Source organism: Homo sapiens, chromosome 2 (genome assembly GCF_000001405.40).
Source record: "Homo sapiens chromosome 2, GRCh38.p14 Primary Assembly".
Lineage (NCBI taxonomy): Eukaryota > Metazoa > Chordata > Mammalia > Primates > Hominidae > Homo > Homo sapiens.
This window is the reverse complement of record NC_000002.12, coordinates 147,843,118-147,859,075: the sequence shown is the minus strand read 5'-3', so window position 1 is coordinate 147,859,075 and position 15,958 is coordinate 147,843,118. Positions and strand designations below refer to the sequence as shown.

The window sequence follows — 15,958 nt, the reverse complement described above, 5'->3', positions numbered from 1 at the left end:
ACAATAATTCTATAAGAAAATGCTCCCGAACAAAGTTTTTTAAACATATTTCTAAGGTGGGGGAGGGATGCCACCTATACAATGTCCAAGAGATTGGCAAACTACAGCCCTCAGGTCAAAATCCAGTCTGTATATAGCCCCTGAACAATGGTTTTTACATTTTTAAATGGTTGAAAAAAAATCAAAATAATAATACTCTGTGACACATGAAATTATATGAAATTCAAATTTCAGTGCCCACAAATAAAGTTTTACTGGAACACAGTGACACTAGTTTATTTACATATTGTCTGACTGCTTTTGTGTTACAGCTGGCACAGCTGAGAAACTGCAAAAGGGACTGCCTAAAATACTATCTGGCCCTTTACAAAAATGTCTGCGGACCCCCATTCTAAGTGCTCGAAAGCATTCAACATTCATTGATAAATATTTGTTAAGCATCTGTTATGTGCCAGGCATGGAAGAAACTACATTATAAGTCTGATATGGCCCTTGTCATAAATATTAATGGAAGACAAACAAGTGAAAAAAAGCTCAGAGGAATAAAAAGCAGTTGGTTTGTTGTAGGAACTACCAGAGGGCCAATACCGCAAAAGATAAGGATGGAATGGGGCCATATCATACAGAGCCTTTAAGGTCACTGTAAGGAATAAGCCCTCTAATATCTAATATTTGGTTGTTTATGGAATTAACCCCTTTATTTGCAGACAGCCTAAAGATAAATGTCGACCCATCAGGCATCACAAATTCTGAATTCGAAGTGCTGGTATAGTTCCCTTCAATCCTTCCTATTACTCTCTACTCCTTGAAAAAAATAACTGTATTAATTACAAATATTTGGCATAGCATTTCAAAGTTTTAAAGGTTGCATGTTCAGCAAAAGGTAGGAGAGAAGAAAAATAATTTAAGTTGCATGTATGGCCATAAAAGCAAACGAGAGCACGTCCTTCGCAGGGACATGGATGGAGCTGGAAGGCCATTATGCTTAGCAAACTAACACAGAACAGAAAACCAAATACCACAAGTTCTCACAAGTGAAAGCTAAATGATGGGAAGACATGGACACATAGAGGGGAACACTGGGGCCTATGGGAGGGAGGAGGGAGAGGATCAGGAAAAATAACTAATGAGTACTAGGCTTAATACCTGGGTGATAAAATAATCCATAAAACAAACCCCCATGACACAAGTTTACCTATGTAACAAACCTGCAGGTGTACTCCTGAACTTAAAATAATTTTTTTTTTAAGTCGCATGTATATATGTTTATGTGAGTATGCTTGGGCTTGTGTGTGTAGCCTCTGATCCTTACTCAAATCTTTGAGGTAGGTACTATAAAATAGAAACTAAGGTAATGAAATTTTCCCAAGTTCACATGATATTCCATACTGTGGTAGACAGGCACAACACCCAGGTTTTCTCCTGGCAGAATGTTTGCTCTTTCTACTATATCAACCCAAAGATCTGCATAATTAATTACTTTCATTGAATCTGAAGATAAAGCAAGTGTTAGGGGTTTTTTTGTTTTTTTTTTTTTTTTTTTAAAGAAAACCATTCTTGCCAACAAACGGCTACATATGTACCAACAAAATGAGCTTTTATTTCTATTAACCAGCCCTAACTGACAAATAACGTTTCAATGGTTCTATTATCTATAACAGAGTAGGCTCCTCTACTCTTCTGTGCTCTGGCTTAGTGAGCTGATTTCCTTCCATCACAGATGCAAGGCTAGATATTAATTACAAAAATACTGTCTAATTGAGGACTGCTAAATATATGTTGCTAGACTAACTAGAAACTACAGTTCTTGATGTGGGGATATTCTAGGGATACAATAGTGAAAAATAAGATCTGCAGGTAAAAAGTCAAAACTACTCTTCAATGATTCAAAAGGAAAATAAAGTATAACCACCCTTCTTCTCTGACCCTAACCTTTTACTTTTACTCCATCCTTCAGAAGTGAGGATCAGCTTGAGTAGTTTATTCTTCCTAAGCATCATTCCGATAAAGGTAGTTACTGGAGAAAATAGTACCTGACAGTTTGTTAGGCCCTCCCAGCAGTAAAAGCTTGCTAATTTAATTTCCTCTATTATTTCTAACCCTCTCAGCTAATAAGCAATCTCTATTTACATTTTAACAAAAACTACAATTAGCAATTAATTTCCTAATTCAACACCCAAACCAAGTATATGTATCTCTAAAGAACTGAGGAGGAAAATAAGTAAAGATTACCAAGAAAGATTTGTTATATAATATAGAATTAAAAAGATGGTCAGTGGCTATTCAACCATTTTTCTGGCCATTCAGAAAGGTGTTTTATTCTACTTTGAATGCCCACTAATCAAATTGCTTTACTATTACCATATCCGTCTTGTATATGTTATCTTGCAATTATTCATTATTTATCATCGTCCTCATTTACTCATTGACTTTTCATTTCTCCTCATATAATTTTAGTAATTATTACAAGTTCATTTTGAGTCTTAGGTTATATAAAATTAATTAGCAAACTGTATTCACTAATCCTGAAGTATGAAACTCCACTACCAGGTAAAAGAAAGGCCTAGCATCCAGTTCTTCTTCTAGAACTATTTTACTTAAGGTAATAATAAATAAAATGACCTATAGTATTTATAGGGTAAAACTGAACTTTATAGAAGGTGGCTTATCAAAGATGGTTAGCTTTATCTGCTTCCAAAATGAAAAAATCCAAGTGAAACCAGATGAAAAGAGGCAGGCACCATTATATTTTTTAAATTCAGTAAAGTTTAACATCTCTTCTGGTTTTACCTGTGTGTAATAATGCAGTTTTTCCTAGGCACAGATGCTACAGCTGAACTTCTGCCATAATAAAGAGCTTATTTCCCTGTGCCAAGCACCACCTCTTTACCACCAACAGGAGAGGATTGAAATCTTTCCAGATAAAAACATTCAAGCTGAATACCTAGAGTTAGAGGCTGCAGCCCTGAGTAAAACTAATAGCCTAAAGTATTAAGTATTCATCCTTTCAGCCTTTATTGTAAGACCTTGATAACCTGAAAAGATATCAAATTTCTAAGAATTAAGATATAAAATACACTGAGTTTCTACTTCTGAATCTTCAACCATACCAACAATATAGTATATTACATCTGAAACAATAAAGAGGTGGTAAGCTTATGAAAAAAATAGACACCTGAAAAGGAGTAAAGCCAATTTCAGAGAGAAATAGGAATGCTTAAATAAGAATATATATAAATTAGCAAATGTACAAAATCTAAAGATAGAAATTTGTTACAAAAATTCAATAACCTCTAGTCTGCGTTTCATTATTTCTTTTTTCTGAGAATTTGTATTCAAAGTTCACATATGCACAAGAAGCCTATCCATTCATGTTTTTTTTTTAAGCAATGACAAGTAGGAAAAAAAATAAGATGACTAAAATAAGATACAAAAGGAAGACTGATAAGTGTAGGCAAGCTTTACAATACAATCAGAGAATGTTCAAAGCTGGAAGGGATCTAGGAGAGTCTCTCTAGCTTACACTGATGCAACAGGTTCCTAATGGTCTCACCTCTTCCCTCCTACACTCTTCCAGTATGTTTTTCAGATAGCTGCCAAAGTGATCTCAACACATAACCCAGATCTGCTCTTCCTTAAAACTCTTTGCTTCACACTGCCATTTGCATTTTATTCTAACTCCTTCCCCTGTTACATCAAAGACCTGCATGATCCTGTCCCTATCTCTCCAGTCCCATCACTGCATTCATTGCTTCAGGCAGCTAGTTAAATATTCACTGAGCTTCGCCTCTGTGCCAGAAACTGTGCCATGCATTGGAAGTATTAAGAAAAAGTCACACCCTTCCCCACCCCAGTAGAGCTTACATTCTAATATTAGAAAGGACAAATAAGAAATAGGCCAGGCGCGGTGGCTCACACCTGTAATCCCAGCACTTTGGGAGGCCAAGGAGGGCAGATCACTTGAGACAGGAGTTCGAGACCAGCCTGCCCAACATGGTTAAACCCCCTCTCTACCAAAAATACAAAAATTAGCCAGGCATGGTGGCGCATGCCTGTAGTCCCAGTTACTCAGGAGGCTGAGGCAGGAGAATCACTTGAACTGGAAGGCTGGGGTTGTGGTAAGCCAAGATTGCACCACTGCACTCCAGCCTGGCCAACAGAGCGAGACTCAGTCTCAAAAAAAAAAGAAATAGGCAGATAAAGTAAACAGATGTGATATGTGATAAGGCAAATAAAGAGTAATCCTCTCGGCACCCTGTTAGTTTCTGTCCGAGCACGTATGACAATCTGTAATTATGTTGTTCATTTGACTACTTACTTTATGACTATAAGCTTCAGAAAGGCATAATCATATCTGTCTTCATGTTTAATAATGTATCCCAAGCACTTACCATAGTGTCTAGCATGTAGTTCAATATTGATTTGTTAAGTGAATGAATACCTATTTCACCCTCTTTAATTTAGGGTGAGTAAAGTGAAATCTTAATGGCTGTCAAAGGTCAAAGAAGAGTCAGTAGGAAAGTAGGAATTTGAATGACAGACTCTTAAGTTTTAGTCCAAAATATTATACCACATTCAAAATATTGATCTCAAAGTACAGTCATTGAATAGCTTTGTGTTTTCAAAGCTTAAAGTAGCTGGTACCTAAAAAACAGACTTGAGAATCTTTCAAAACTTTACTTCTACTAAAAAGTTTTAAAACACTTAAAAAGTTTAAGAGAAGTTGTCCAAGAAAAAAAGATATTTTAAATTCCCACTAATAAATAGAGACGATTTAGTCCATTGTTTCTTTTTAATGCATGCTAAAACAGTGAGACCTTAAAGAACTCTTTGTAAGGAACCACGATATCTGAATATTCTAGATATTTATTGGCAGCTATCTGGCTCTCTATAATGATATGTTCTTTGGCTGTATCATTTAGTCAGAGTATTATTTCACATTAACTGACTGATAAGTAACCTGCAAATGTAAATATCCCCCAAGAACCAAATCTATATTTTTTAATGTTTTACATACCATATCCTTTTAAATGGGACTTAAAGATAGATTAAAAACTAATATGTAAGATCTACTCTGGACCAGCTACCATGTTATGTGGAGTTATCAATTCATTTAATACATCTTGGTTTACAAATTTTAAAAGTTAATCTCAGAGTTTTAGAAATGTGCCAAGATCTCATAACTTGTCCATGCCCCTTCCTCTTGAAATAATGCCTTGGAGCAAGCTTGATATATCACATATAGTTATGAAGATGGGAAGAACAATAAACTTTTCCTTTAAAATAAAAATTTTAAAGTTAATAATCATAACTACGAAAACTCCTCCCTCTAAGCTTTATAAATAGGCTTACTTTTATTACAATATGTAAAGACTTGATTCATTTTTAAAATCTTTTGAAAGGCAACCCCTCCCCACATGTGTAGCCAGTCCTTCTAATGTAGTAACTCTCTTCTTGCTTTACATTTATTTTCTTTAGCAATATTAGAGAATAAAGTAATTCCCAGTGTGACTACAGCCAACCAAAGAAAAAACTAGTCCAAAAGAATGGTCACTGAAAAGTTTAGGTTTCAAGCGTGAATACCATATACCAAATTCAGAAAAGCATCTAAATCTACTTCCTTAGAACAGTGTATTTTACTGTAGGGTCTCATACAGATTTCAAAGAATATAATCTGGATGACCAGTATGAGTAATTACTGAAATTTGACCATCATTTAAACATAAACAACATATTGAGCCACTAATGTTTAGAATTCTTTAACTAGACTTCACAATGAAGACATATCCATCATACAGTGTCTGCCTCTTTAAGAGAATATTACGTTATCATGTTTTATTATGTACTCTTATTTTTCCAAATACATGTCTTTATTTCTATTCATGCTTATCATCTAAAACTATATCTATCTGTAAACTTTTTTAGTTATGAAGGCACTTTCAATTTTCCTCTGGCTCATTACTTCCTTACCAATTTTATTTAGTAGTGCTACCATTCTACCTTAGTCTTCGAGTTGCTTTTCAGTCCTATATCCACATATGGGGTATTTGGGACATACATCAGGATATGTATCATCCACTCTTACCTCCTCAGTTTTAATTACTTTTCATTTGAATTTAAGGGTTAACCCCCTGAGATTGTCCTACTTCTTCAAGCAATTGTGAACTCTCTTCATCACACAAATCTCTTCCTCAGATTTAGTCAAAATTTCTCCATCCCACCTTGCCTTCATCCATGGTCAAGTTTACTCTCAAATGGCTATTGTGTTCCTGATGCTATTTTGTGTCTTTTCCTTCATATTAACATCCTTCCTAATCTCCGTCTAAGACTTTTTTTCCAGTACTAAGTCCAGCAAGTCTTTCCTAAATTAAAAAATCCCAACTCCCCAAAATTACAATCTAATGTTGTTTCAGCGCCTTCGTGTGTGCTTAATTTATTCGACTAGTCCAAAAGAGAGAAGACCTTAATCAGGGAAGAGCCATGTTCTCCCTTGAGACCAGTTTTCCCTATATTCTATACCTAGGCACACAGTCTCTATTGTAGATTAATTAATGACCATATTTTTCAGTGCATATATTTTTCATTGCACACATTTACATATGAAGCTTCCTTTTCCACTAAGAGAGTACTGAATACAGGAAATAAGGATTGTTGAACTAGGTCACTGGTTTTAGGGATTTACAATCCATTAGTTGGTCAATGAATCAATTAATGGGTCACGATCAATGTTTTTTAAATGAAATGTAATATAAAAATACATAAGTGTCCTGCACATAGTTAAGAGTACACAGTTCATGAAACTTTCATTTCTGATGCACACAGACATATATACATACACCCCTACTACTACATGGGAACTAAGTCATAATGCAATGTGTAATTCCTATTGTGTATTACAGTCAAAAAAGTATGAAAGCCATGGAACATGAGGATACCTAAGATCCCCTCTAAATCTATATAATTCAAATTCTAATTTTAATTATTTAAAAAAATTTAAATTTGAACATAACTTAAAGATATCAAAACAATGAGCAAAATCATCTTTTCTTAATAAAATGTCACCACTGAACTCTAACCTTAAAATTATAGAACCATAAAGCTTTCAGAGTAGGAAAAAAAATCAGGGATCATCTAATCCAAGTTCACCACTTCAATACATTAAGAGGACAACCGTGGCTCAGAGAAGTGAAATAATTTCATTTCATTCATTTAATAAACATTTGCTGAGCACCTATTGTGTACCAGGTTCCAGGAATGGGTGTGTGGATAAAGGAAAGATGTCTTCAAAGAGTAGAAACAGGAAAGTAAACATTTGCACAGTCTAAAGTGGAAACAGGCAAGTAAACATTTGCAATTATTACTGAAATCAAGGTCATTTACAAGGTGTTAGATGAACAGAAAGCAACTAACTCAATCTGGGTTGAGTGACAGAGAAAATGTTTCTAAAGAGGTGATACTTCTCAGTCTTAAAACCAAAAAGGGGTTAGCCAGGTAGAAGAGGAAGAGTAATATGTACAAAGGCACCATACTGATATACAATAAAGGATTACACATTTAAGAAACTGCAAGTCAAGTCTGTATGGATGGAATATAGTACTCAGGCTGAGGAGAAGCTGCAGCAGAATAACTAGCATTTAATATTCAAACCACTCTCTGAGGTAGGCACTATTAATATCCCCCCATTGTGTAGATGAGAAAACTGAGGCACACAAAGGTGAAGTAACTTGACCAAGGTTAAGTTATGAAACCAAGATTTAAACCAATTAGGTCTATATCCAGAGTCTATACTCTTAACCAATACCAAGAGGTTAGAAAAAATAGGCAGGAACCAAACGATGAAGGACCTTTTATGACATTCTAAGACTTTAGATTCTATGCTAAAGGTGACTCACAGTCAGTGAAAGGTTTTAAGCAAGGGTAACATATTCAGATTTATTTTTTAATAAGATCACTCCAGCAGCTATGCAGATGGACTAGAAAGAAAAGGAAGTAGTGATAGGGAACTGGTGAATCTTAGCTAGAAAAGTGCTACAATAATCAAGTAACAGAAAATGATACATAAGCTAGATACTGGCAGCACTGACACCACAGCTCAAGTCTACCAACCTCTACGACCACATTCTTGATCACTATCCATATGAAGTTTCCAATTCTTTCCCTTAGGTCCACCACTCTAACAGTTCAAAAAATCCAATCTCAGAGACAAAAACATATTTCCTTTAAGTCCCTTTATTAAAACAAAGCCTGACCTCTAGATGCACTGGGTATACAAAAGTGACTAACAAGAAATCTAGGTGGAGAATGACAGAAAGTCACTTGCTATCTACAGTAGTTTTCTTACCTTCTTGATTTCTCCTCCTCCTCCTCCTTCCTCTATACACTATTCCTGGAATTTTCATGTTCAATAGTCAATTTGAAATCAATGTTCTGTCTAGACATGACTATTTTACAATCTAACAGAATTAAATCTACCACAGAGGAAGTCTAATGTGGTCCTATCAGCAGCAATAAATATACTCTTGGTTCTAGTCAAATTTTGGCTTAAACAGAGATGATAAATGAATAATAAGATGAGCGAAACTTTTTCTGAAGCAGCAAAGAGTTAAGGAAAACCTGAATATTAAAAAAGAGAATAAGAGCAATCTAAAGTTCAAGCCATTTGATTCTAAGAGAGTAACACTATTCCCAAGAGGGTGTGCGAGGTAGTCCAGAAACCAGTAAATGAAAAAACAGTGGAAAAGACTATCTGGTCAATTCTCAAGCATTCTAAATTCAATCTGTTTTCATTAAAACTACGGGTAAGCCCTCTGGAGTCACCCATGATGCTAAGCCACAACTGGGTTCCACAAGCAAGCAGTATAAGGAAGTACAGAAGGGTCAGGGGAAGAAAAGGGAGTAGACAAAGAAGGGAGGAAAATGGAAAGGGAACAATAATGAAAGGGAATGGAAAAAACAATGAGTTACAGAGCAGTGAGCAAAAAGCTAAGGCATACCAGTGACCCCTAGTATCAAATGTTGCCAACCTTACCTATAATCTGAGACAACATGGCAACTGGCAACTTAACAGACCATGAAAACACAAATTTAAATCATTGGACTCATGAAATATCAAAGATGAGAAAATCATAGTAGCACTTTAAAAAGTCAAAATGCAACAAAATAAAGTCTTGGAATCTAAAGAAACAATTTAGAGATTACTAAAATCTCATTTGGTTTAGTTGTGCTTCTCTTAAGAACAGTGAGTCTGGTGGACCCAAAAGGCGAAAATGTCAGTATCAGAGAGAAGGGTATGGAGAGGTGTGTTACAAAGACACTGTGAGGCTCATTTGGACACCATTTGTGGGAATGACTTCAGAATTTTCCTCTCTATGGTATAATGCTCCTTAATTTGCTAAGAGTTTCACTGTAATTCTTATCTTGGTTGGCTAGGTTAACTCCCTTAAAACCAGAGTTCAAAACAAGGTAAGCATTTTATTAATTATGGTCAAGATTTAGCCTTAAAAAGGGAAACGATCTGCAATAGATCATAAAATATTACTTACTGTATCATGAATTAGTCTAACGGTAACCAAAACCCAGCTAGTGATTCTCAAGATAATTATGTAATTAAGAGATTAGGTTAAAAGTTTCTTGAAATTAAAGTTAGCTAGACAAAAGAAATATCTTTTTTAAAAAAACAGAATTTCTACCTTGAAACTATTCAGGGAACATGTAATAGTGAACATATTTCAGGCAACATGTTACACACACACACGAATACCGCCATAAGGCAGCCCAATGATGTCAGTAAAAATAAAGGCAAATATCCTTAAAGATCATATCATGGCAAAGAAAATCCTGGATCTAAAGCAAATATAATTAAACTTGATACCTTAACCAATCATTCATTATGTCCAGGAACATGCAGTCTTCATGAGCACTCTATCAAAATCGGTGATAGGAGAGTTTATCCATAAGTCATTGGAATATTTTATTATAGTATAAAATATTATACTATACTGGTGAATTCTCAAGCATTTCATCAAGGATGAAAGAATGTGCGTATCTATAGTCTGTTTCTCTAATTTAATCATATTCTAATTTAAAAGATAATGAAAAGATAAAAATCTTTCAATACAACGTTACCTGGAGATCATCAATACCATGTACTTGTAAAATTTAGATTACTAACTTTAGGGGGAAGAGAGCAGAGCCCTTTTACTAATAAACTACTGCTTTTAAAATTTAAGAGTTTAGAACTGAGTTTTTCCTTTTTTTTTAATTTGTATTTTAGGTTTGGGGGTACATGTGAAGGTCTGTTACATGGGTAAACTCGTATAATGGGGTTTGCTGTGCAGATTACTTCATTACCCAGGTATTAAGTCCAGTACCCAATAGTTATCTTTTCTGCTCATCTACCTCCTCCCACCCTCCATCCTTGAGTAGACCCCAGTGTCTGCTGTTCTGTTCTTTGTTTTCATGTTTTCTCATCATTTTGCTCCTACTTATAGGAACATGTGGTATTTGGTTTTCTTAGAACAGGGTTTTTTGACCTCTACACTACTGACATATTGAGCCAGCTAACTCTTTGTTGTGGAAGGCTGTACCATGTATTTTAGGACGATTAGAAGCATCCCTGCCCTCTACCCAACTAGATGCCAGTAGCACACCCCGTCCCCTGTTGTGACAACCAAAAATGTCTCCAAATGTCCCATGGATGGGGATCTGGGGAAGTAGGGAGGGGGACTCACCCCAGCTTGAGAACTGTTGGCTTAGATCATAAACAGGAAAAAAAAATAGAAAATGAATGGAGGGAGAATTTTGTTTCATTTTGTTTCTAGTCTCCATGTTTCAATGTATTATATTTGAATTTGACCACAGACACCATTTATAAGAGATTCTGCCTTTTAGAAAACAAAGTATTTATCATCCATCACTTGTTAATCAAAGTTCAAAAGAATCCCAAAAGATTCTCTGTAATGCTAACTCCCCCTCCAACCACACATACATTCACACATACACAGTACTGCCTAGCTGAACTGAAGAAAACATAATTACCATATTTCCATTTCCTCTTTCATCAAATACATTGACCATACTGCTCCAGCTCCCACAAAATCCAAAGGAATTCTCAACTTACTTCTATGCAACTCAAATACCACAATAGCTGCATAACTCTAGATAGGATAAATCTAAGTACTAAAGCAAGTATTAAAGTCATTCTCATACTTCAACAAACTGTGGGGAAAGACACAAATAAACCACAATGCTATAAAAAGAAAACTAAGATTTATGTTTTGAAACAGAATCTGAGAAAGTATGAGAGGAATGAAAAAATTCAAAATCAAAGGTAATCTGAAGGCACTCCAGGATAGGGGCAAAATTTAAAATGTTTCCCCTGGAATGAGAGAGAGGAGGAAATTATACACTTGGCCATATCCTACAGGAATAGTCTGCATAATCAGTCTCCAGAATACATACCATGGGATGGAAACTGAAAAATCAGAGTCCACGAAATAGTAAACATCCCTCCTAAACACCTGGAACAAAACTGTTCCTTACTATTGTTTCCCATTTTGATTTTTAAAAAAAATCAAATATCTAGAAATGAAAAACTGACAACCTGAGAATTTTTAAAATTCTCATAAAAATAGTCACCTCATGCTTCCAACATGTCAGATCACACATTTTGTAGAAAAATCAATTAGTTGGAGAAACATAATAATCCTTTTTTAGAGTGCATCTGATCCATAACAAAAGGCTTTTAAAAATCAGACATTTTAAGTACTCAAATTGTTCATGTATAAATATGGATTAAGGTCTTTATGATTATTTCAATTATCTTCAACAGAATCACATATTTTAGTTCAACTGGGAATGTTCATCTTAAAAAGCCTATGCAACAACATAATATTAGTTTAATATAAGTGGAATATCTATATGCCCTACAGCAACAAAATCACTTTATTTCAAAATTATAGCTATTAACCTCCTGGCCCACTGAAAATAATCCTGGCCCAATGAAAATAATCCCACAAGAAACTAATGCTCAATTATTTTTACTACCAAACCAAGCAGAAGAAGCTGTAAGATCTGTAGCGACAGCCTGCTTTTCAAGAAGTAATACCTTGAGACTGCTCAAGAATAACCTCCTTCATCAATTAGTGTGACTCAGGTGGGTTTGAGAGGGAATAATGTCCACAATTCCTTGGTCAGTGGCCATGATGCCCCTCCTCCTCAAGGGCAAGAGATCAGAACAAGGGATTTGAACAAGAGGAGTTCACCAGCCACAACATATAGAAGCAGAGGAAAAAAGAGTACTACTGGAAAGATAAAAACTACATGGTTAAGTCATGTCACAAAAGCAAGAGGTTTAATGTTATCAAGGCCTTCATTCATTTCAGACACACCATTGTTTAGCTTCCTTCCCAAACCGTGCACAAAAAGAACTGTCAGCCTGCCTTAAGCATGTTCCTTCTTCCATTTAAACAGACATGATTCTTTTGGTTAATCTCTGGCAATGATCGCCATTTCACAACACATTCAGCCCACCCGGAACTGATCAATACCACTACAGACATAAGACTAGACTTTATCCATTTATTAACCACAAGGAAATGTACCATTCAGCAAAATTCTATACATTACAAAAGATTATATTTAAAGGGGGGTGGGGAAGACGGACACAAACACACAAACACACACACACACACCCCACAGAGGTACACAAAGAAGACTACCACCCTTTAATTTTCCTGTGGCAAACGAGATAAAGACATGGCCATGAAACCTGTCAATTCGCCCCCGTTTCCAAGAGTCCCCCGTAATTCTATGCCACAAGCTTGTAACTGAATATTAAATTTTACAATAAATAGATCCAATGAGACTTATTTAAAATGTTTCATCTATTGAACTAACTCTCCTGTTATGTACATCTGCACACCTTTCAGCTAGATGCTGTATTTATTTATAGAATTTCAAATACAAAAGACTAGATAGTTTTTCCAACCACTGGTTGCAACCATAGAACGTCCTCACAAAATCAAAATTTCCAATATAAAATGGCCCGTTTATTCCCCCAACCTTGAGCTAAAACCTATTTTATGAGTGTACTATATTTAACAAAAACAATTTCACATGGGTTGTTCTAAACCGAAAACAATGCTTCAATACAAAGCGTTTAAAATAAGTATTCCGTAGGTAAGCAAAATCTATGCCCCAAAAGAGCACACAAATGGTGGTTGAACGCCAGCACATTACCAATACCAAGCGGCATACCTCTTCTGCACTGGGTTATAGTTAATACTCCAACAACAACTACAACTATTTTTAACACTGCTGGACGCTGAAGTTGAAGAAAACGTGAGGGGAGACCCAGATTAAATTGCTGATAGGATGTATTGTTTCCCACAGCCAAAATTAAGCAGCAACTGGCTTGATCTATGTCGTGATATTCACCGGTGAAGCACTAATTAAACGATGACAAAAAGCAACCCTTGTTTTGGAGGAGCCCACACTAAATACTCCTTTCAGATCTCAACCTTTGCATAAATTGTCACTTGTGGTATTTGCGGCTTAATTGCAACCCAACCAGCGCTGTCATCCAGTGTTATGGCCACAAAACATGACTTTCTCACTTCCACAACAACACAGCACTCACTCTTATCAGCTCGCCGACCCAACTCAAAAAGAGAAAAATGCATGGAGGTTTCCAGATCACAATCAGACCTGGGGGCGGGGGGGGGGGGCGGTGGCAGCCGAGGGGCGCAGGGAGTGGGCAACCTCCCCAGGCTCCACTGGACTCTCCGACTCAACACCAGCCGCGGCCCCCAGCAGCGGCCGCCGCGGCCGCAGGAGCAGCCCCACCGCGCCGCGCTCCCTGCACCTACCTGAAGAACAGGAGATAAGAAAGACGGCAAACGCCAACTTTGCAGCAGCTCCCATTTTCCCGAGGCGCCGGGGAATCCGGAGGAAGTTCTCGCTAGATATCCAGTTCCCTGGGTCTTCCTCGGAGACAAACCTCCTGGTGTAAAATCAACCGTCATAAAACATATTCGGAAGCCCAGACCAAAAAAAAAAAAAAAAAAAAAAAAAAACGCTCACTGGGTTAAAAAAAAAAAAGAAAAAAAAGAGCACAACGATAAAAAATAAAATGCACCACGGGGGAAAAACCGCCACACACACGCACAACACACAAAACCAAACAACGAAAAGCCAACAACAACAAAAGCGGGTTTAAATCACTGTCAAAATCACTGTCAGCTCCGCTCGCCTCTCCCGTCTCTCGGAACAAAACGCCAGGCTGAGGCGACGAAGAGGCGGCGGCGGCAGCGGCGTCCGCTGCCGCCCGGACAGTCTGGGAACTGACTGGGTCCGATGTCCGGACCGACCTTCAACCCAGACACCTAAAGTCCGAGGACCACTGGCGGCCGAGCTCGCGGCGGTGGCGGCGAGGCGGCTGCGGCGCGGGGAAGGGGCGGCGGGCGGCAGCGGCGGCGGCGGTGCAGGCGGCGGCCAAGTTCTGGTCCAGGCTCTGGCTCCAGCTCCGGGCTCCGGGCTCGGCCGCGTTTTCGGTCTCCTGGCCTCCGCCGGGCTCCGCCCCCCAAACTTCCGGTTCCGGCCCGAAGCTGGAAGCCAGGCGCAGCGGAGGAACGCTCGGCGGCAGCGGCGGCGGCGGCGGCGGCGGCAGCGGCGGCCGGGCGCAGCGCGCGTGCCGGGCCGGGAGCGCGAGGAGATTGTCGGGGAAGCGAGGCGGGAGCGGGGGAGGGGTGAGAGAGCGAGGGCGGGGCGGAGTGGAGGGCGAGGAGGCGGGGCGGACGGAGGCTCGATACCGCGAGGCCTCGGCGTCCGGCCTGCTTGGGCTAGAGATACCGCGACAAAGGGGCGCGGGCGCCTCAAAGTCCCTAAGCTGTGGCTGGGCTGTGGCCGGGCGAGTAGATGCGGGCTAGGCCGGGCACGACCCGTTTCCAAATCGCGTCCGACGGGCCTGTCTGGAGCGCCCACCCAAAGGGTCAGGAGAAGCCCAAGAGGAAGAGGACCCCGAGGTGGGGCGAGTGGCCAGGGACTTCTCCAAGGGGCGTCTGCGGCGCCCAGTCTTTCCTCTGGGGGGACGCCTCGTCCGCTCTGATACCGAGGAGTCGGTGGAAGGCGGACGTGGGAGCTGTTTCGCCGCGCCCGCCGAGCTGCCCAGGCGAGCTCGCGACGCGCGAGCTGGTGTGTGCGCCCCCAGACTTAGCACTGCGTCCCACCGCTGCAGCTTCTGCACACGCGTGCTGTCTTGGTGACTAGAAAAGAAAAAGAAAAAACTCACGGAGGAAGGGCTGTCCACCCGCTCAGGATATTCACGCCATTTATCACGATGCGCAACTTGAATCCATTCCCGCCGTTCCTTTTACACACAAAGCATTGTGTTGAAAACTGTTTTGCACGTAATAGGTGCGCAAATACTTGTTTACTGCGCTTTGAAGAAAAAAATGAGGATTTCGAACGACATATTTGATGATCAGACAAGTGATTACTTGTCAAAATTTTAGCTATTTAAGGGCCTGTTTTTACCCCTTAATCCATGTCGATTGCTTACAAGCTGGTGTGCTAGGCACGGAATGGGATCCAACAGGTAAAAATAGGATGGATCCCTACCTCAAGTAGCTTTTAGTATTTGCTGTATTCAGTTGGTTGCAGAATACAAACTAGAGACTATTGAAGGTAGTTGCTCTGTCATTTACCACACTTTAGTGAGCTTCGTGAAGGTAGAGATCTTGATTTTTTCCTTATTTTATTCCAGCACCCAGAAGTATCAACTAGCACATAAGTGCTTAATAAATAATTGTATAAATGACTAAGGGATGACTGCCTTTCTCTTAAATACAGTCTCTGTTAATGTACTCTACAAAGTTTTGGTTTTTAATAAAACAACTGTATAATATGGCTAATTCATGTTTCATTTGTGGTTTACTGATTCCCACCTTTTCCCACAAAG

General features: G+C 38.7%; 1 protein-coding gene across 4 annotated transcripts in view, besides 4 other annotated features; it reads right to left on the bottom strand.

The window, feature by feature from the left end:
- The window catches only part of ACVR2A (activin A receptor type 2A), an 86,306-nt gene extending 71,747 nt beyond the window's left edge, over window positions 1-14,559 (bottom strand). For 2 of the 4 annotated variants that reach the window (XM_047446292.1, NM_001278580.2), the window contains exon 1: window positions 14,370-14,559. Coding sequence is in view for 2 of the 4 variants with exons in the window: in NM_001278579.2 (NP_001265508.1) it covers window positions 13,869-13,923 (55 nt within the window). In the remaining 2 variants the exon portion in view is untranslated. Of the gene's footprint in view, window positions 1-13,868; window positions 14,048-14,369 lie in introns of those variants that run through there. The other 2 variants (NM_001278579.2, NM_001616.5) reach the window with 2 other exon arrangements.
- Window positions 13,606-13,685: a silencer, noted in NCBI's record as "silent region_11997". NCBI's record gives its function as "represses an Ori minimal core promoter by ATAC-STARR-seq in GM12878 lymphoblastoid cells {active_cell/tissue: GM12878}" and the evidence as "EXISTENCE:reporter gene assay evidence [ECO:0000049][PMID:35858748]".
- Window positions 14,441-14,550: a silencer, noted in NCBI's record as "silent region_11996". NCBI's record gives its function as "represses an Ori minimal core promoter by ATAC-STARR-seq in GM12878 lymphoblastoid cells {active_cell/tissue: GM12878}" and the evidence as "EXISTENCE:reporter gene assay evidence [ECO:0000049][PMID:35858748]".
- Window positions 14,631-14,820: a silencer, noted in NCBI's record as "silent region_11995". NCBI's record gives its function as "represses an Ori minimal core promoter by ATAC-STARR-seq in GM12878 lymphoblastoid cells {active_cell/tissue: GM12878}" and the evidence as "EXISTENCE:reporter gene assay evidence [ECO:0000049][PMID:35858748]".
- Window positions 14,947-15,697: an enhancer, noted in NCBI's record as "NANOG-H3K27ac-H3K4me1 hESC enhancer chr2:148600948-148601698 (GRCh37/hg19 assembly coordinates)". NCBI's record gives its function as "activates a minimal SCP1, AML or CMV promoter by ChIP-STARR-seq in primed H9 embryonic stem cells {active_cell/tissue: H9 hESC(primed)}" and the evidence as "EXISTENCE:reporter gene assay evidence [ECO:0000049][PMID:30033119]".